This window comes from Homo sapiens, chromosome X, assembly GCF_000001405.40.
Source record: "Homo sapiens chromosome X, GRCh38.p14 Primary Assembly".
Classification (NCBI taxonomy): Eukaryota; Metazoa; Chordata; class Mammalia; order Primates; family Hominidae; genus Homo; species Homo sapiens.
This window is the reverse complement of record NC_000023.11, coordinates 78,507,671-78,528,138: the sequence shown is the minus strand read 5'-3', so window position 1 is coordinate 78,528,138 and position 20,468 is coordinate 78,507,671. Positions and strand designations below refer to the sequence as shown.

The 20,468-nt window shown below is 37.8% G+C and overlaps 1 pseudogene, besides 1 other annotated feature; it reads left to right on the top strand.

Annotated features, from left to right (window-relative positions):
• On the top strand, positions 8,353-8,742 carry HMGN1P34 (high mobility group nucleosome binding domain 1 pseudogene 34; annotated as a pseudogene).
• Positions 12,784-13,763: an enhancer, noted in NCBI's record as "OCT4-NANOG hESC enhancer chrX:77769873-77770852 (GRCh37/hg19 assembly coordinates)". NCBI's record gives its function as "activates a minimal SCP1, AML or CMV promoter by ChIP-STARR-seq in naive and primed H9 embryonic stem cells {active_cell/tissue: H9 hESC(naive and primed)}" and the evidence as "EXISTENCE:reporter gene assay evidence [ECO:0000049][PMID:30033119]".

Sequence of the window (20,468 nt, the reverse complement as noted above, 5' to 3'; positions counted from 1 at the left end):
TGCAAGTTATGAAACCAGTGTGGAAATTGTGCCAGTCACTGAGTATGTCTTTTACAATTATGCATTCTGGTACTGAAAAATAATGACAGGATGGGTTTGGTGACACACTGGACCCACTAAGATATACATGAGCTAAAACTCCGTTCATCACCTGACCTCCATAAGCCCCTACTGTGACTAGTGGATCACAGTGGCATTTTGGATCTCCTCAAATTAGTGTCAGTTCAGACCCAGTGTCTCATAATCCCCAAAAAGTCTGGTTATTTCCTTTTCCTCCATGCACAATCACCTTAATAAAAGGCCATAAGTCCCTTTGGGGAAGGCTGGGAGGAAGATAAATAGAATAATATTCTGGGAGTTTCCACTTCTTTAAGGGCACATGTTCTCCCCTTTATGTAAGTGATTCTGGGTCTGAAAACTGGATACATCCAGTTTTGATCAAAGGGCCACAATTCTATCTTTTGATAATTTTTATTAGACTTCTGTGTACTTGACTTAGAATTCTTCTGCTTATACACATCAAGTAAGAATTTATCAGACCTCCCATCTGTTGCTCATCGGGGTATTTCATGATCAACTAGCCAATGACTGACTGTGAGTCAGACTATTCTGAGTACTTCTTTGACTCAGCTGTACATTATGGTAACCATGGCCACCTTGTCTTTGATAATGAAGTGCCACCATTTGGCCCTTGCCACCTCAGGCTCCAGTACCTGATTGTATCTAAGGATCTCAGTTCAGTGGCAGCAGTTCCCACTGTAATTCCTGACCTACAAAGAGTGACCACAGAGCCCTTCAAGGATTCTGTGGCTTCTCTCATGAATTTATTTCTCACAGTCATGGTGACAGAGGTGTCTTCTGACCCTTCCTATGTGGCTGAGCAGTACTTACCTAAAAAAATCCACTCTAATATTCCAACCTCTCTAAGCCTGATTCAGCCCTGATACAACTTGTGTTCTTTTCATGTTTATCTGACACTCTTAATATCAATTACTACATATTTTCTCAGATTTCTGTCTCTATCATTTGGAAAATAATGCAGTTCTTTCTGAGCATAGCACAACTCTTTATGTGTCACACTTTTTACCTCATCCTTTGGGACCTGCTGGGACTTGAGTCTAGTTGTAGACCTAGAAGCAAAAAGGGGTAATGGGGATAGATCCAGAGGATAAATAGCAGTGTTGCAAGGCAGCTACTATAGGGGAAGCTATTGCAGTTTCCTCAGAAATAGTAGATTTAACCTCCTCAGGTGAGCATGGAAAGTTGCTTCTACTGGCAAAGAAGACTTGACTGAATTTAGAGGCTCAATGTTATCAGCTTCATCAGGATCTGCGCATATGTCCCCATGTCAATTTTGAGGATCCCATTTCTTCCCAATGTCCTTATTTTAACAGCAGACATCCTGCGAGGTTAGGAATTCTATTTGTGTTGTAATGTAATCACTCACAGAATGAGACTCAGGGTTTGGTTTTCTGCTATCTCAGCCCTGCAGCTGCAGATAAGCATTTCTTTCAGAGCAGGCATAGAATTTTTCAGGTTATTTCTGCAGTGCTTGGGCTGGGAATTTAAATCCCTAAGCTAGCTAATCCTTTTCTTTCTCCACAATGTCCAACGCAATTAAGAACTGGCCACTTTCATTATACTCATTAGTTTTACAAGTATGTTCTAAGGTGTCAAAATGTGTGTTCATACTAAATCTTGCCTCTTTTAAATATTTCATTGGGAATATCCAATAGTGATTTTTTGCTTATCTCTTTTGTCACATCATACCATGGACTATCTGTGCCCTCTTTCTATTGGAAATAAAGTCATTATGCCCTTAAATCAAATCAGAATAGAGAACCAATTACAGAAATCCCATAGTCAATTCAAAAAACTTATCCTGAAGATTCATTCTATTTCTCTATAATAATCCCCAATTACAAAATCAATATCAGTCAGGGTTCTTCAAACAAATAGAACCAAGAGAATATACTTTTTAATATTTCTCTCTCTTTAACTTTTATTTTAGGTTCCGAGGTACATGTGAAGGTTTGTTACATAGGTAAACTCATGTCATAGGGGCGTGTTGTACAGATTATTTCATCACCAGGAATTAAGCGCAGTACCCAATAGTTATCTATTCTGCTATTCTCCCTCCTTCCACCCTCCACCCTCAAGTAGACTCCAGTGTCTGTTGTTTTCTGCTTTGTCTTCATAAGTTCTCATCATTTAGCTCCCACTTATAAGTGAGAACATGTGGTATTTGGTTTTCTGTTCCTACTTTAGTTTGCTGAGGATGATAGCCTCCAGCTGCATCCATGTTCCCAGGAAAGGCATGATCTTGTATTTTTATGGCTGCATAGTATTTCATGGTGTATATGTAGCACATTTTCTTTACCCAATCTGTCATTGATGGGCATTTAGGTTGATTCCATTCCTTTGCTATTGTGAATAGTGCTGCAGTGAACATTTGCATGTATGTGTCTTTATGGTAAAATGATTTATATTCCTCTGAGTATATACCCAGTAATGGGTTTGCTGGGTTGAATGGCAGTTTTGCTTTTAGTTCTTTGAGGAATTGCCACACTGCTTTCCACAATGGTTGAACCAATTTATACTCCCACCAATAGTGTATAAGTGTTCTCTTTGCTCCACAACCTTGCCAGCATATGTCATTTTGTGACTTTTTAATAATAACCATTCTAACTGGTGTTAGATCATATCTCATTGTGGTTTTGATTTGCATTTCTCTAAGAATCAGTGATAATGAGCTTTTATTCATATGCTTGTTGGTCACATGTATGTCTTCTTTTGACTTTTGACTTCTATGGACTTTTAAAATCTTTCTCCTTATCTCTTCTTCTGTTCTGTCTATCTTTACTTCCGCTGACTTTGTTCAGGACTTCATCAGCTTATACATGGATCTTGCAAGAACTCCCTGTATGGACTCTTGAAATCCAAACTTGCCCCATAATGTTTACCGTGAAGTGATCAAATACATGTTTTCTCTTGTAAATTTGTTTGAGTTCTTTATAGATGCTGGATATTAGGCCTTTGTCAGATGCATAGTTTGCAAATATTTTCTCCCATACTGTACATTGTCTGTTTACTCTATTGATAGTTTCTTTTGCTTTGCAAGAAGCTACTAAGTTTAGTTAGATCCCACTTGTCAATTTTTGCTTTTGTTGTGATTGCTTTCGGTGTCTTCATAATGAAACCTTTGCCTGTTCCCACATCCAGGATGGTATTGCATAGGTTGACTTCCAGGATTTTTATATATTTGAGTTTTACATTTAAGTCTTTAATCAATCTTGAATTGATTTTTGTGTATGGCATAAGGAAGAGGTCCAGCTTTAGTCTTCTGCATATGGCTAGCCAGTTATCCTAACACCATTTATTGAGTAGGAAATCTTTTCCCCATTGCTTGTTTTTATCAGCTTTGCCAAAGATCAGGTAGTCATATGTGTGAGGCCCTATTTCTGACCTCTGTATTCTGTTCCAATGGTCTATGTTCCTGGGATTTTTTCCTACCAGTACCATGCTGTTTTGTTTACTCTAGCCCTTTAGTATAGTTTGAAGTCAGGTAACGTGATACTTCCAGCTTTGTTCTTTTTGCTTAGGATTTCTTTGGCTATTCAGACTCTTTTTTTGTTTCATATGAATTTTAAAAGTTTTTCTAGTTCTGAGAAGAATGTTATTGGTAGTTTGATAGGAATAGCATTGAATCTGGAAATCACTTTAGGCAGTTTGACCATTTTAATGATATTGATGTTTCCTATCCATGAGCATGGAAGGTTTTTTCACTTGTTTGTGTTTTCTCTGATTTATTTGAACAGTGTTTTGTAATTTTTATTGTAGAAATCATTTATCCCCTTGGCTAGTTATATCCCTAGGTGTTTTATTATTTTTGTAGCTATTGTGAATGGGATTGCATTTCTGATTTGGTTCATAGTGTGGATGTTGCTGGTGTACAAAAATGCTACTGATTTTTGTACATTAACTTGGTATCCTGAAACCTTGCTAAAGTGATTTATCAGGCCAAGGAGCTTTTGGTCAGAGGCTATGGGTTTTTTTAGGTATGGAATCATATTATCTGTAAACAGAGATAATTTGACTTCCTCTCTTTCTATTTGGATGTGCTTCACTTCTGTCTCTTGCCTGATTTTTCTGGCTAGTACTTCTAGTACTATGTTGAATAGGCATGGTGAGAGACGGCATGCTTGTCTTGCGCTGATTTTCAAACGGAATGCTTCCAGCTTTTATTTTAAGTAATTGGCTTATATAATTGTGCAGACTTGAAATTCCAAAATCTGCAGGCAGGTCAGAAGGCTAGAATCTCAGTCAAGAATTAATGTTATAGTCTTGAGTCTGAAATCTGTAGGACTTGCCAACAGTCTGAAAATTCAAGCAGGATTTCTTTTTTTTTTTTTTTTTTTGAGACGGGGTCTCGCTCTGTTGCCCAGGCTGGAGTGCAGTGGTGCGATCTCGGCTCACTGCCAGCTCTGCCTCCTGGGTTCATGGCATTCTCCTGCCTCAGCCTCCCGAGTAGCTGGGACTACAGGCGCCCGCCAACACGCCTGGCTAACTTTTTTGTATTTTTAGTAGAGACGGGGTTTCACCATGTTGGCCAGGCTGGTCTTGATCTCCCGACCTCGTGATCCACCCGCCTCAGCCATCCCAAAGTGCTGGGATTACAGGCGTGAGCCACCACGCCCGGCACAAACAGGATTTCTATGTTACAGTCCTGAGGCAGAATTTCTTCTTCTCCTGAGAAATTTGCTTTTGCTTAATGTTAAAGGAGGTGCCTGGTGGGAGGTGATTAAATCATGGAGGTGAACTTCCCCCTTGCTGCCCGCATTATAGTGAGCTCTCATGTTTAAAAGTGTGTAGCACTTCCCTCATCACTCTTTTCCTCCTGCTTCAGCCACGTAAGAAGTGCTTGATTGCCCTTCACCTTCTGACACGATTGTAAGTTTCCTGAGGACTCCCGGACCATGCTTCCTGTACAGCCTCCTACAGAACTTTGAGTCAATTAAACCTCTTTTCTTTATAACTTTCCCAGTCTCAAGTAGTCCTTTATAGTAATGCGAGAATGGATGAATACAGTATTCAAAACATCATAAAACATTGATGGTACAACTCAATTATTACATATTCATTAATTCTATCTTTCTCTCTCTCTCCCCGTCTGTCTCATTTTCTCTCTCATTAAAACAGTTAGAAATATTGATGAGGAGATGAGAAGATAGTGAATGTTAACTTTGACTTACTTGCCACATGTGGCAACACTACCTATCTTTCAATGTCTGTTACAAATGCTACTTACATGTAAATGAGTAAAACCTCAATACCTACACTTGCCTGGGCCTGTATTTTCCTTCACTGGTTTTGATCTCTCCCTGCTTGAAACCTTTGAGGCTTGGAACTACATATCCTTTACCTTTGTATAACTATGTTTACTGTCTCCTATCTTCCACCGTAGACTCATTTTCCCAATGAAAGAGAAAACAAAGCTAGCTACCAAATAAGGAGGCAAAAAGTTTACAGTGGGCTTAAGGAAAAGTGGTAAAATTAATCTAAAAATTAAGCCCCTCTTATCTCCCTAATTATTTTTTACCCATTCATCTCTATTTACAAAATTATCTGCCTCCATACTCATCCTTATCTCTTTTTCCCTTGTGTCAAATGTGGAAATTCTCCCTTGACTAAACCCTTAGTGCCACCCCCTCTAACCTCCATCAAGTCCTTACCATCAGACATCCCCATCCATTTCTTCAACCTGTTAGCATGCTCAACTCTCTTTCAATCTATAACCTGAAAGAATAAACTTTCAGTGTTTCCATAGCCCCTACTTGCTATCTCCCTAACTCTCTCCTCTTTGAAACCATCAAACTTCTTGAAAGACTTGTCTACCTTCACTGTCACCACGTTTTCATCTTCCATTCTCTTAATTTATGCAGTCTGACTTCCACTCCCAATATTTCAAAGACACTACTTTCACTAAGGCTACCAATCACCTGTCAAATTCAATGTATCTTTTCAATCCTTCAGTTAATGGACTTCATTGCTGTGTTTGATACTCTTGATTATGCCTTCCTTGTTAATACATTATATCTCCTTAGATTCCACCATGCCACATTCTCATGCTTCCCTGACCTCTTGCTCTCTGCCTCCTGCATTGACTCCTCATCTTCACTTACTCCTAAAAACACTGGCATTTCCTAGCATTCTATCATCAGTCCATTTCCCTTTTCTATCTACATATTTGTATAAACTTTCTATCATCAGCCTAGATCTCCCTTTTCAGTTTCAGAATCAAATATCTATCTTCCTGCTAGATCTCTCTACTTATCTGTCTTAAAGATACCTTGACCCAGAGAAACACAAAAGTTTCGTCTGACTCTACCTTCTTTTGACCACCCTCTCCAAGTTCATATTTGATAGAAATCCTGACAATTTTACTTTATATGGACTTTTAAAATCTCTCTCCTTATCTCTTCTTCTGTTCTGTCTATCTTTACTTCCACTGACTTTGTTCAGGACTTCATCAACTCATACCTGGATCTTGCAAGAACTCCCTGTATGGACTCTTGAAATCCAAACTTGCCCCATAATATTTACGGTGAAGTGGTTAAATACAGGTACTCTTTAGTCAGACTGCCATGGTTCAATTCCTGACTCTATCACTTATTAGTGATGTGAGACACTTTACTTAACCTTCTCCCACCAATGAAGAGGAGACAGCAATGGTACCTAATTCATAGGGATGCTGTGAGGGTTAACTGTGTTAATATAGAAATAAAGCCCTTGGAGCTATGCCTGGCGTAGTGAGAGCTTCATAAGTGTGACTGTTGTTATAGTCAAACGTCATCAGATGACTCTACCGCTAAAAATTTCTCATCGATTTCTATAACCTAAAAGATATAAATTTTGCCACACACTTTGCCAATTCTCTGTTTCTTACACAAATTTATTTACACTATTCCCTCCCCTGGAAATTCCTTTCCTCCTAGGCTTCACCTGAATAACTACTACTTATCCTTTAAAACCCTGCTTACCTTGTAAGGTTACTGTCATTAGTAACAACATTGTAGTTATGGTTGGCTAATTTTAGGGGGCTGTGATTGTGTAGTCATTAAGACAATAGATTTTAGAAAAAAATTCAGTGGTTTCCATTGGTCATGCATGTCCTAGAATCTCTCTCATATTGATAATAATATATCAATTGGCAACAAATGGCTAATCTCATGTTTAATAATAGTGCTTATAGTAAATTTTTTATAATGAATAAATCAGATTCTATCATCACCTCTTTTCAGCTAGGATAGGTATGACTACTCTGTGCTCCTGTAATATCCCACATATATTTATCTGCTGCATTTACTCATAAATTTATAATTATTCATTTACTTGTACCCCTCTAAAACTATCAATGCCTTGTGGACAGGAAAGAGTCTTACACTGGATGACTATCATAATGCCTGGCATATAACTGATGCTCAGTAAATTGTGATGAATTAACAAATACTAAAAAGCATCTCTTTAGGTTCCTCTATCATTCATTCAACACACCTTTACCAGGTACCTTTTATGTGGCTGGCAGAAAATCTTTGCTAACCAGTAAAGATATAAATATAAATGAGACCTTGTCTGGATTACTAGGGACTCAAAGTCCCACAGAGAGCCACTGGTAAGCCACAGTGACCAAAAAGTCACTCTGTAGGACTTTGTACATGGATAATTACAGTACAGGGTGATAAGCACCATAAACCCATAGTAGCAGTGACTTCAACATCACCACTGCCCACTTGTTCTTCTGACCTTTCATTCTGGGCTCTTCCTGATGTACCTCTCTCACCTAATCTCTATCAAATACATCATTGGTAGCTCAGGTGGTGGAAGGAGTGGCAGCAGCCAGACATCCCAGCTTCTTGAAACCTCTCAGCATGCACCTCTTGGCCACTAAAATGCCCAAGAAAAAGGTCAGCTTAGCCTTACAGGCAGTGAAGGAAGAGCTGACGAGGAGATCAGCGCGGCTCTCAGTTACGTCTGCAACTGTAAAAGTGGAAACGGACCAGCCGCGGTGACTCACGCCTGTAATCCCAGAACTTTGGGAGGACGAGGTGGGTGGATCATGGGGTCTGGAGGTCAAGATCATCCTGGCCAACATGGTGAAACCCCGCCTCTACTAAAAATAAAAAAAAAATTAGCTGGGCGTGGTGGCATGTACCTGTACTCCCAGCTACTCAGGAGGCTGAGGCAGGAGAATCGCTTGAACCCAGGAGGCGGAGGTTGCAGTGAGCCAAGATGGTGCCACTGCACTCCAGCCTGGGCGACAGAGCAAGACTCCGTCTCAAAAAAAAAAAGGGGGGGGAAACGAAGCCAAAAAAAGAAGCAGGAAAGGATACATTTTCAGACAAAATAGTGCAAACAAAAGAAAAAAGGGGACAAAAGGGAAAACAGGCCAAAATGGTGAACCAAGAAACTAAAAAAAGATTTACCTGCAGAAAACCAAGGAGAGTCTAGCTGCCGATGAAGCCAGAGAGAAAGAAGCCACATCTGATTATTATCATATATCATGTCTTATCAGTGCTCCATGCCTCCATTCTTGTGTAATCCAGAGGAATATTTTTATCAACTATTTTGTAAATGCAAGCCTTTTAGTAGCTCTAGAAACAGTTTAAGAAGGGAGGAATTTCATCTCATCCTATTTTTTAAGTGTAAATGCTTTTCTTTAAGAGACAAAATCATTCACTCGTTTGTTTTTTGGTGCAATCAGAAAATAATGTGGGATATTGAATTTGGGGATGCTTTGATTGTCTTGGGTGTCAGCTTAACATTCCATTAAAGGGGGTTAGTTTTTATATCCTATAATAAAAAGCATACTATAAATGGCAATATGGAGTCACAGTCCTGTATTTAATATCTTGAACATTTTTAAATTACTTATATTCCCATGTTGTTTTCAGTAGAACTGTTTCCTAAAGAAAATCACCCCTTGATAATGGCTCTTCCTGTCATAATCATGCACTCTATATTATCTTTGGTCGTGGTAGCCCTACTTTCCTAATAACTTTGCTAATGTGCTGTGAAAGATTAAAAATTTGTGTATGTAGTATATATGCTATTAAATTTTGAATCAGTAGGATGTATGTAACAAGTTAACAACATTTGAAGATACTGGTACTTGATATCCTCTTAAGAAAAAATTGCCTCCAATTTTTAAGCTGGAAGATCACTGGAATAACTGTTTTGAAAAGAATTACAATACACAGCTTTTTAGATTTTTCATATGTATGTTAAGAATTGTGTACAAATTGAAATGTTTGTGTACCGGTCCTCAACATAACCAACAAAATCTCAATTGTGAAAGAAAAAAAACAAGTACATCATTGGTGTGCATTCTGAGGAGTTAGCACACCATCTGAAGTATTTTAGAGAAGAGTTTCTGGAAATATACAAAGCAGGAAAAGCACTGAGCAGTTACATCATTCCAGTGACCATCAGCCACTGAAACTGCAGAGAAAATATAAAGAAAGATAATTTTAATAACTTCAGTGGAGGTTTTCCATCACCAAGTTTCCATATTTTTAGTAAACACCATAAAATCCCTATTCCTATTCCATGTCCAAAGTATTACTCCTTCAAAAGCTGCCAATTTTGAATGATATATACTTTTCATTTTGTGTTCAATCACTTAAACTCATTCATTTAACATTTCATAAGGGCTTACTCTGTTGTAGACACTGAGGATAGAATAGTGTACAAGACAAACATGGCAGGCTTTCACCAAACTTACAGGAAAGCAATGGAAATAGTCAACTGATGAGTCAAAATCATAATACCATTGAATAAGTGTGTTTTACACAATATCCCCATTTCCACCTCTGTTAATGAGTGTTGATTATGTCACATTGAAAACCATTAAAATGTTTACCCATACTCTCATTAGACAATGAGCATCCCTGTGTTTTCTTGAGTAATATCTAGACACTGGAATTTCATTCATGGCATCCAAACATCTCTAGTGAAGGCATGGGCAGGCAGACAGCTAATCTAATTACCTAATTTATGGTAATCTGCTCATGGGTTCTCTTCTCTAATTAAATCTGCATTTTAGTATAGCCTTCTAGAGAGGTAATGCCCTAATACATAGCCTATAAAATTAATGCTACTAATTTCAGCAACTCTGACCAGTTTGAGAAGTCATAGAAGTATCTTGGGCCACCTCTCACATTCTGCCTTCAAGGAGTTTACAAGCGAAATAAAGATGAGGACACTGGATGCAATATAAAATAGTGAAAGACAGGAAGGTTAAAAATAAAGATAAAGGAAAAACAAATGCCCAAGAAGAAAAATATCCCTTAGTGATTATCATTTTCAAAAAGACTCGGATCACAAAAGACAACTATGAGCAGGTCATGTCTGAAATATTAATACTTTCCATTGACCCTACTGATAATCCTTTTACCCTGTATCTTCCCTTGATAATTCTTTTGATTTTTAGTTTCTGTGAGTACATAGCTCTTGTTCTTGTTTGAGGCAAGGATAGATTCCTTGTTTCCATCAAAAAAAAAAAAAACTGGAAATTTGTCCCTAGCACAAAAAGTCAACAATGATAATCTTGGTCAAGTCATGACATTTTATGTCTTTGCACAACAGAAAGGGGATTCCTTTATTAACAGTACTCAGAAGGAACTGGGTGAAACAGGAAACTGAGTAAGACAACTGCTGTTCAGAATTCTGTAGACAGTCATCTTCCCTTATCTGGGCTAGAAATACCACTTCAAAAACACCTGCATGAGTGAATGCGTGCAAATGAGTCACATGTCACCTCAGAATGACGTGGAATCCAGCAACTCCCAACCGCACCAAAGTAAAAATGAGTATCTTTAACTTTTATCAAGAACAACCTTAATATGTTTATTATCTTGCGTGTGGTAATGGATACATGGGTGTATGCATGTGTTTAAACCCATCAAATTGTACACATAAAATACATTCAAATTTTTGTGCAACAATTACACCTCAATAAAACTGTTAAAAAGAGAGATACAAATAATCTTTTTTTATAAAAAAGCAAAGTGAAACGTGATCAGCCGAATTAAAGATTGTGCATTTATGCTGTTTACAGTCGTTAAGCTGAATTGTGTGCATCCTTACACACAAAAAAGGAAATGCTTATTTACTGTCTTATGTGAAGGCCAAGTTAATATATTTTTTAAGCCAGACTATTCAAATTGAAAATGGAAACTGTAACACCAGAGATGGTAGGGTTGCTTATACAATTTAGATTTTCCAAATAGGACAATGCAGCCTCTGGCAAACATTAATTACAGCACAAAAAGATAACGATATGAAGGATAAAGATAATGATACAAAGTAAGATATGGAATCCTGCTTTCAATCAGTTTAGGGTCCAGTCAGAAAGAATACAAACATGCACATATGCGCACACACAAATCTGTCAATAAGCAATAGCAAGATTAAATGTTCAATTAGTACATTGGGGTGCAACAATTTAAGGCAAAAGTTATGTTCCCATCTGTTGTAAATTTGGTTATATTTTTTCTTCCCATCTAGTCCTATACATATGGTTATAGAAATTAGTTACAGAAGTGCTCAATGCTTCTAATTAGAAATTTTCAAAAAATATCTGTTATCCTTACATGATGGTGAAGACTCCAACCTAAGACTCTCCCTCAGTGGTGTAACTGAATGGTCTACAGGTGAATGGCACCAGGGCAAAATTCTGTTTATATCTTTTCTTCCCCATGACACTTTTAGCTAGTAAACCATGAGTAAGCCCTACAATCTACATGGGTCTGTAATGAATTTGTTCACAGCAGATTTCACAGGAAATATCTGAATTACCGCTTTTAATAACTTTTTGTGTAATCTGAAAAAGATAACACTTGTATTTTGCTGCATAACTCAGCAACTTCTTATTTCCCTTTGAAGATTTGAGGCAAGCAGTCTTCATTGGTTTGAATACCACCTAAAGTTTTGAACAAGTTAAGCCTGAATGTCTCAAATTCTTTGTAAAAGAAGACAGAATCTAAGTAAGTAATTGTATATAGATAATTAAAATCAATTAAAGTTGAACTTCAAGGTAGAGTAAAAGTTTTAAGGCTATTATACCATAAAATTTGAAAGTTCTATGTGTTTCTGTAAGCATCTGTGACAAAAGGCATGCCCTTTTTAAATTGTCCTTTTTTTACTGTGTGTGTGTGCACACGCATGTGCGAGCACATACATGTGTTCATGCCTGCATGCCCGCGTATGAGAGAGAGAAGTGGGCAGGATGGAAGGGAAGGACAGAAGGAAGAAGAGGGAGACAGAGAGGGAGAAGGAGAGGGACTGGAACAGGGAGAGAACACACAAAAACAGACACTAAACTAGAGTAGGTCTTTCCCTGAGGCTGAGGACTTTTAATCCAGAGGCAAATTTTATTCAGACTGAACATTCAAGTAAAGGCAATTTCCAAATGTTCCTAGTCTCCACAATGGAGTTTAAGTAATAATATAACTACCTTGTATCTGTGCAGCCCATTAACCTTCACATGCAGCTTTCTCAAAAAATCCAACATCCACAACAACTGCACACTGTGAGCTAGGCATTCACTTTTCAGATGGGAAAACTGACAACTAGTGATAAAGCCAGACCTAGCACCCACATTTATGGACTCCCGGTTAAAATATATTTTCACTAGGGCAGAAGAGAAGATTAAGTATGAATTTGCAATGAGTTGAGGAAAAGGGGCTAGGCCTGAGGCAACAAGCAGGTGAGAACCCTAAAATTTGAAGTTCAGCCATTATTCTTCCAGAACTGCTTCTTTGCTTAGAATATATTTAGTAGTTCATTTCTTAAAAGGCACTATGTACAACTTATTATGGCTCATCAACATTTTTCAGATCTAATTTTTGCTGAGTTGAAATGTTTGGCAGACAGTGGGGAATTTCCCTAACAGTATAATACCTAGGGTACAGCAACTCATACTTAGCCAAACTACTTAGTATCCTCAAACTACTAGGAAAAAGACTGTTGGCAGATTCTGACTCACAGTGGACTTGTTTGTTCTTGAGTATCTTACACTGGAGAATGATTGAGTGATGAACAGACCCTTGATCTATTTCAATACATGAGCTCTGGCACCTGTTCTTTTCTCCCTCTCCCAGAGCCAAGGGGCATTCTCAGCTTCATTCCCTGATTAGCAGAACAAAGCAGCTGATGGCAGAGAACAGCAGGGGGCTCTCATTTCTATGGAAAGGTAACAAACTGAAAAGAAAAGAAAAGAATGCTCTTGAATTAACCTTTGCATTAGGCCTCATAGACAGGCCTGCAAAATATTTCCAGACTGTGACTTTTCCTTTCTCAATTTCCTTGTTTATCTCGTATAGGGATTACAAAGTTCCATGTTTACAAGTTTCCACAAGGCCCTAAATTTCCCCAAAAAGAAAGGATATAGCAAAAGTCTTTAGCAGTTTAACTGCAATTAAGATTAAGTTCTCACCTCCTTCAAAAGGCCTTCCCAGAACATAATCGTCCCTCCCTCTCTCCCTTCCCAGGGTTCCTGTTGTATATTCAGTGCCTCTCATTTGGCCCTTTTCATAGATCACCATGTACCATGGAAGTAATTTGTGTAAATGCTTGAAGGTCCTAGAGGGAAGAGTTTTGCTTTTTCAGAGCTCTCAGCACAGTGCCTTAGACATGAGCTAAGCTGTCACCTTGAGGAATTAAAGAAATAGAAACACTGATGACAAGGATTTTGCTGTTGTTAAAGAGAAAATGTCATTATCTGGCACTGCAAATTTTTCCCCCCAAATTATTAAGCAATGAGTAATTCCCTGCCAGAAATCCAAAAGAAAACATCTAATGCCTTATGTTAACTCTAACTACACAACTCTCTAATTTAGGAGATTAATTCCCATTTGGTGAAATAACACATGGCTTCTGTCAGTAAATATATTATCTAACAGTCACTTAGAAACCGATGTTATTCATAGATTCCAGACATTGTATAAAAGAATGCCCTGCCCTGTTCTGTTTCTCTCTGACCACTGGTGCATGCAGCCCCTGTCACGTACTCCTTGCTTGCTCAAATCAATCACGACCCTTTCATGTAAAATCTTTAGTGTTGTGAGCCCTTAAAGAGGACAGAAATTGTGCACTCAGGGAGCTCGGATTTCAAGGCAGTAACTTGCCGATGCTCCCAGCTGAATAAAGCCCTTCCTTCTACAACTCGGTGTCTGGGAGGTTTTGTCTGTGGCTCGTCCTGCTACAATACATCCATTAAAATCAACTCTTTGAATCCAACCATTTAATTAGTCATGAATTCCTCCCCATATCTGCACTTTCTTGTAGTCCAAATTTCACCAGCTCATCCTACAAAACTAACATGAAATAGTTTATCGGATATCCCTCCAAACTCCATATAGGGTCTGCCCTATTTTTCTACTGTTACTATACACAAAGGCAGCCCCCTTTTAAAAAAATCCAGAAATTAGTGGGCACTGACTGACTGGAGTTGGGTAACAGAAGAAGATCAGAGAAGTAGAGTTTAGAAATGTGCCACATTCTCTGTCCATATTGGCATAACTCAAGTAGCAAAAGTTTTACAGAATTTTTTACATTGGAAGACTGAGTCACTCTCTAATCTCTTGTAACTTAAAAATATGCCTTCCTTATGCCTTTGCATCCACACAGCTTAGCTCCCACTTATAAGTGAGAACATACGATGTCTGGTTTTTGATTTATGAGTTACTTCACTTAGAAAAATGGTCTCCAACTCCACCCAGGTTGCTGCAAATGTCATTATTTCATTCTTTTTATGGCTGAGGCGTATTCATGCTATATATATATATACACTATATTTTCTTTATCCACTTGTTGAATGATGGGAGTTTAGACTGGCTCCACATTTTTGCAATTGTAAATTGTGGTGCTATAAACTTGCAGGAGCAAGTATCTTTTTCATATAATGACTTTTTATTCCTCTGGGTAGATACCCAGTAGTGGGATTGCTGAATCAAATGGTAGATCAACTTTTAGCTCTTTAAGGAATCTCCATACTGTCTTCCATAGTGGTTGTACTAGTTTACATCCCCACCAGCAGTGTAGAAGTGTTCCATTTTCACCACATCCACACCAACATCTATTATTTTTTGATTTTTTGATTATTGCCATACTTGCAGGAGTAAGGTGGTATTGCATTGTGGTTTTGATTTGCATTTGTCTGATCATTAGTGATGTTGAGCATTTTTTCATATGTTTGTTGGCCATTTGTGTATCTTCTTTTGAGAATTGTCTATTCATGTCCTTAGCCCACTTTTTGATGGGATTATTTGTTTTTTCCTGCTGATTTACTTGAGTTCCTTGTAGATTCTTTATATTGGTCCTTCGTTGGGTGCATAGTTTGCAAAGATTTTCTTCCATTCTGTGGGTTGTCTGTTTACTATGTTGATTATTTCTTTTGCTGTGCAGAAGCTTTTTAGTTTAATTAGGTCTCATCTATTTATCTTTGTTTTTGTTGCATTTGTTTTTGGGTTCTTGGTCCTGAAGTCTTTGGATAAGCCATTGTCTAGAAGGGTTTTGCCGATGTTATCTTCTAGAATTTTTATGGCTTCACGTCTTAGATTTAAGTCTTTGGTTCATCTTGAGTTGATTTTTATATAGGGTGAGGGATGAGGATACAGTTTCATCCTTCTACATGTGGCTTGCCAATTATCCCAGCACCATTTGTTGAATATGGTGTCCTTTCCCCACCTAATGTTTTTGTTTGCTTTGTCAAAGATCAGTTGGCTGTATTTGGCTTTGCTTACGGTTTCTCTATTCCGTTTCATTGGTCTATGTGCCTATTTTCATACCAGTGTTATGATGTTTTGGTGACTACGTTCTTATAGTATAGTTTGAAGTTGAGTAAAATGATACTTCCAGATTATTCTTTTTGCTTAGTCTTGCTTTGGCTGTGTGGACTCTTTTTTAGTTCTGTATGAATTTTAGAATTGTTTTCTCTATTTCTGTGAAGAATGATGATGATACTTTGGTGGGAATTGCATTGAATTTTTAGATAGCTTTTGGCATTATGGTAATATTCACAATATTGATTCTACCACTCCATGAGCATGGAATGTGTTTCCATTTGTTTGTGTCGTCTATGATTTCTTTCAGCAGTGCTTTGTAGTTTTCCTTGCAGAGGTCTTTTGCATCCTTGGTCAGGTATATTTCTAAGTATTATATTTTATTTTTATTTCATTTCATTTCATTTCATTTCATTTGCAGATATTGTAAAAGGGGTTGAGTACTTATTTCATTCTCAGCTTGGTCGCTGTTGGTGTATAGCAGAGCTATTGATTTGTGTACATTGATTTTGTATCCTGAAACTTTGCTGAATTCATTTATGAGTTCTAGGAGCTTTTTGGATGAGTCTTCAGGATTTTTTGGATATATAATCATATAACCAGTGAACAACAACAGCTTGACTTCCTCTTTACTGATGTGGATGCCCTTTATTTCTTCCTCTTGTCCAATTGCTCTGGCTAGGACTTCCAGTACTATGTTGGACAGAAGTACTGAAAGAGGGCAGTCTTATCTTCTTCCAGTTCTCAGGGAATGCTTTCAACTTTTCTCCATATAATATAATGTTGACTGTGGGTTTGCCATAGATGGCTTTTATTATCTTAGGTATGTCCTTTCTATGCCAATTTTGCTGAGGCTTTTAATCATAAAGGGATGCTGGGTTTTGTCAAATACTTCTTCTGCATCTATTGAGATGATCATGTGATTTTTGTTTCTAATTCTGTTTATGTGGTGTACAACATTTATTGACTTGTGTATGTTAAACCATCACTCTATCCCTGGTATGAAACCCACTTGATCATGTTGGATTATCTTTTTGATATGCTGTTGGACTCAGTTACCCAGTATTTTGTTGAGGATTTTTGCATCTATGTTCATCAGGGATATTGGTCTGTCGTTTTCTTTATTTGTTATGTCCTTTCCTGGTATTGGTATTAGGGTGATACTGGCTTCATAGAATGATTTAGGGAAATTCCCTCTCTCTATCTTGTGAAATAGTGTCAATAGGATTGGTACCAATTCTTCTTTGAATGTCTGATAGAATTTTACTGTGAATCCATCTTGCCCTGGAAATTTTGTGGGGAATTTTTAAATTGCCATTTCAATCTCACTGATTTCTCTGTTCAGAGTTTCTATTTCTTCCTGGTTTAATCTAGGAGGGTTGTATATTTCCAGAAATTTATCCATCTCCTCTAGGTTTTCTAGTTTGTGTGCATAAAGGTATGTTCTTAGTAGCCTTGAATGATCTTTTGTATTTCTGTGGTATCAGTTGTAATATCTCCCATTTTGTTTCTAGTTGAGCTTATTGACATCTTCTGTCTTCTTTTCTTCATTAATTTCATTAATGGTCTATCAATTTTGTTTATCTTTTCAAAGAACCAGTTTTTAGTTTCATTTATTCTTTGTATTTTTTGGTTCAATTTCATTTAGTTCTGCTCTCATGTTGATTATTACTTTTCTTTTGCCGGGTTAGGGTTTGGCTTGTTCTTGTTTCTCTAGTTCCTTGAGGTGTGACCTTAGATTGTCTATTTGTGCTCTTTCAGACTTTTTGATGCAGGCATTTAACGCTGTGAACTTCCTTCTTAGCACTGCCTTTGCTGTATCCCAGAGGATATGATAGGTTGTGTCACTATTATAGTCCAGTTCAAAGAACTTTTTAATTTCCATCTTGATTTCACTGTTGATCCAATGATCATTCAGAAGTAGGTTATTTAATTTCCATGTATTTGCACGTTTTTAAGGGTTTGTTTTGAAGTTGATTTTTAATTTTGTTCCACTATAGTCTGAGGGAGTACTTGATATAATTTAGATTTTCTTAAATGTATTGAGACTTGTTTTGTGACCTATCATATGGTCTATCTTGGAGAATGTTCCATGTGCTGAGGAATAGAATGTATATTCTGCAGCTATTGGGTAGAATGTTTTGTAAATACTTGCTAAGTTCATATGTTCTTGGGTATAGCTTAAGTCCATCGTTTCTTTGTTGACTTTCTCTTGATGACCTGTCTAGTGCTGTCAGTGGAGTATTGAAGTCCCCCACTATTATCGTGTTGCCGTCTATCTCATTTCTTAGGTCTAGTAATAATTGTTTTTATATTTGGGACCTCCAGTATTAAATGCATATATAGTTAGGATGGTGATATTTTCCTGTTCCACTAGTCCTTTTATCATCATATAATATCCCTCTTTGTCTCTTTTAACTGCTGTTGCTTTAAAGTTTGTTTTTTTCTGATATAAGAATAGCTACTCCTGCTTGCTTATGGTGACCATTTGCTTGGAATATCTTTTTCCACCCTTTTATCTTAAGTTTATGTGAGTCCTTATGTGTTAGGTGAGTCTCTTGAAGACTGCAGATACTTGATTGTTAAATTCTTATCCATTCTGCCATTCTGTATCTTTTAAGTGGAACATTTAGGCCATTTACATTCAAGTTACTATTGAGATGTGAGGTGCTATTCTATCCATTGTGCTAGTTGTTGCCTGAATTCCTTGGTTTATTATTCATTGTGTTGTTGTTTTATAGGTCCTGTGAGATTTATGCTTTAAAGAGGTTCTATTTTGGTGTATTTCGAAGATTTGTTTCAAGATTTAGAGCTGCTTTTAGCAGTTCTTGTAGTGCCGGTTTGGTAGTGGCAAATTCTCTGGGCATTTGTCTGAAAAAGTCATTATCTTTCCTTCATTCTTGGCTGATAATTGTTTTGTTTAAGGAGGCTGAAGATAGAACCCCAATCCCTTCTAGCTTGTAGAGTTTCTGCTGACAAATCTATTGTTAATCTGATAGGTTTTCATTTGTAGGTTACCTGAAGCTTTTGCCTCACAGATCTCAAAATTCTTCCCTTTATTTTGACTTTAGATAACCTAATGACTGTATGCCTAGGTGATGATCATTTTGCCATGAATTTTCCGCATGTTCTTTGAGCTTCTTGTATTTGAATGTCTAGATCTCTAGCAAAGCCAAGGAAGTTTTCCTGGATTATTCCCTCAAATAGATTTTTGGAACTTTTAGATTTCTCTTCTTTCTCAGGAACACTAATTATTCTTATTTTATGTCATTTAACAAATCCCAAACTTCTTGGAGGCTTTGTTCATTTTTGTGATTTGTTTTTCTTTGGCTTTGCCGAACTGGGTTAATTTGAAAGCTTTGTCTTTGAGCTCTGAAGTTCTCTCTTCTACTTGTTTGATTATATTGTTGAAACTTTCCAGTGTATTTGGTATTTCTTTAAGTGTGTCTTTCATTTTCAGAAGTTGTGATTGTTTTGATTTACAATAAAAATAAATTTATCTATATATTTGTTGTCAATATCCTGTATCTTTTTTAAGTTTATTTAAGTTGGTTTCCACCTTTCTCTGATACCTCCTTGAGTAGCTTAATAATTGACCTTCTGAATTATTTCTGGCATTCACAGATTTTGTCTTGGTTTGGATCCATTGCTGGTGAGCTAGTGTGATCTTTTGGGAGTGTTAAAGAACATAGCTTTTTCATATTACCAGAATATTTTCTTGTCCCTTTTCATTTGGGTAGACTATGTCAGAGGAAAGATCTGGAACTCAAGGGCTGCGGTTCAGATTCTTTTCTCCCGTGGGGTGATCCCTTGATGTGAAGCTCTTCCCCTTCTTCTAGGTATGGGGCTTCCTGAGAGCCAGACTGCAGTGATTGTTATTGCTCTTCTGAGTCTAGCCACCCAGCAGAACTATCAGGCTAGGGGCTGGTACTGGGGAGTCTCTGCAAAGAGTCCTCTGATGTGATCTGTCTTCAGGTCTCTCAGCCATGAATACCAGCACCTGCTCCGGTGGGAGGTAGCAGGGGAACGAAGTAAACTCTTTGAGGGTCCTTGGTTGTAGTTTTGTTTAGTGTGCTGGTTTTCTCAAATGCTGGTTGTGCTAGCAGTGAAGATGTCACGTGGACAGACTCAAGATCTCGGGGTTAGCCAGGATGTTACAGGAAGTGGAATTAGCTGTTGTTGTTGTTTTTCCTTTCTTGGAGCAAGGTTGTTATTTTATGAGTTGCTGTAATGGCTTGAGTTGGCTGGCCTCAAGTCAGGAGGTGGCACTTTCAAGAGAGCATCAGCTGCTGTAGTATAGGGGGAATACAAGCTTGCCCTAAGTTCTCCTGGATAAGTATTTGAGTTTCTCAGGTGATGGGCAGGGCTATAGATCTCCCAAGAGATTATGTTTTTTGTCTTCAGCTACTAGAATGGGTAGAGAAAGACCATCAGGTGGGAATGGGGTTAGGCCTGTCTGAGCTCAGACTCTCCTTGGGCACGGCTTGTGGTGGTCACTGCGGGCTATAAGGGTATAGTTCTCAAGTCAATGAAGTTAGGTTCCCAAGGGGGTTATGGCTGCTTCTGCTGCCTCATACAGGTCACCAAGGAGGTGGGGGAAAGCTAGCAGTGACCAGCCTCACCCAG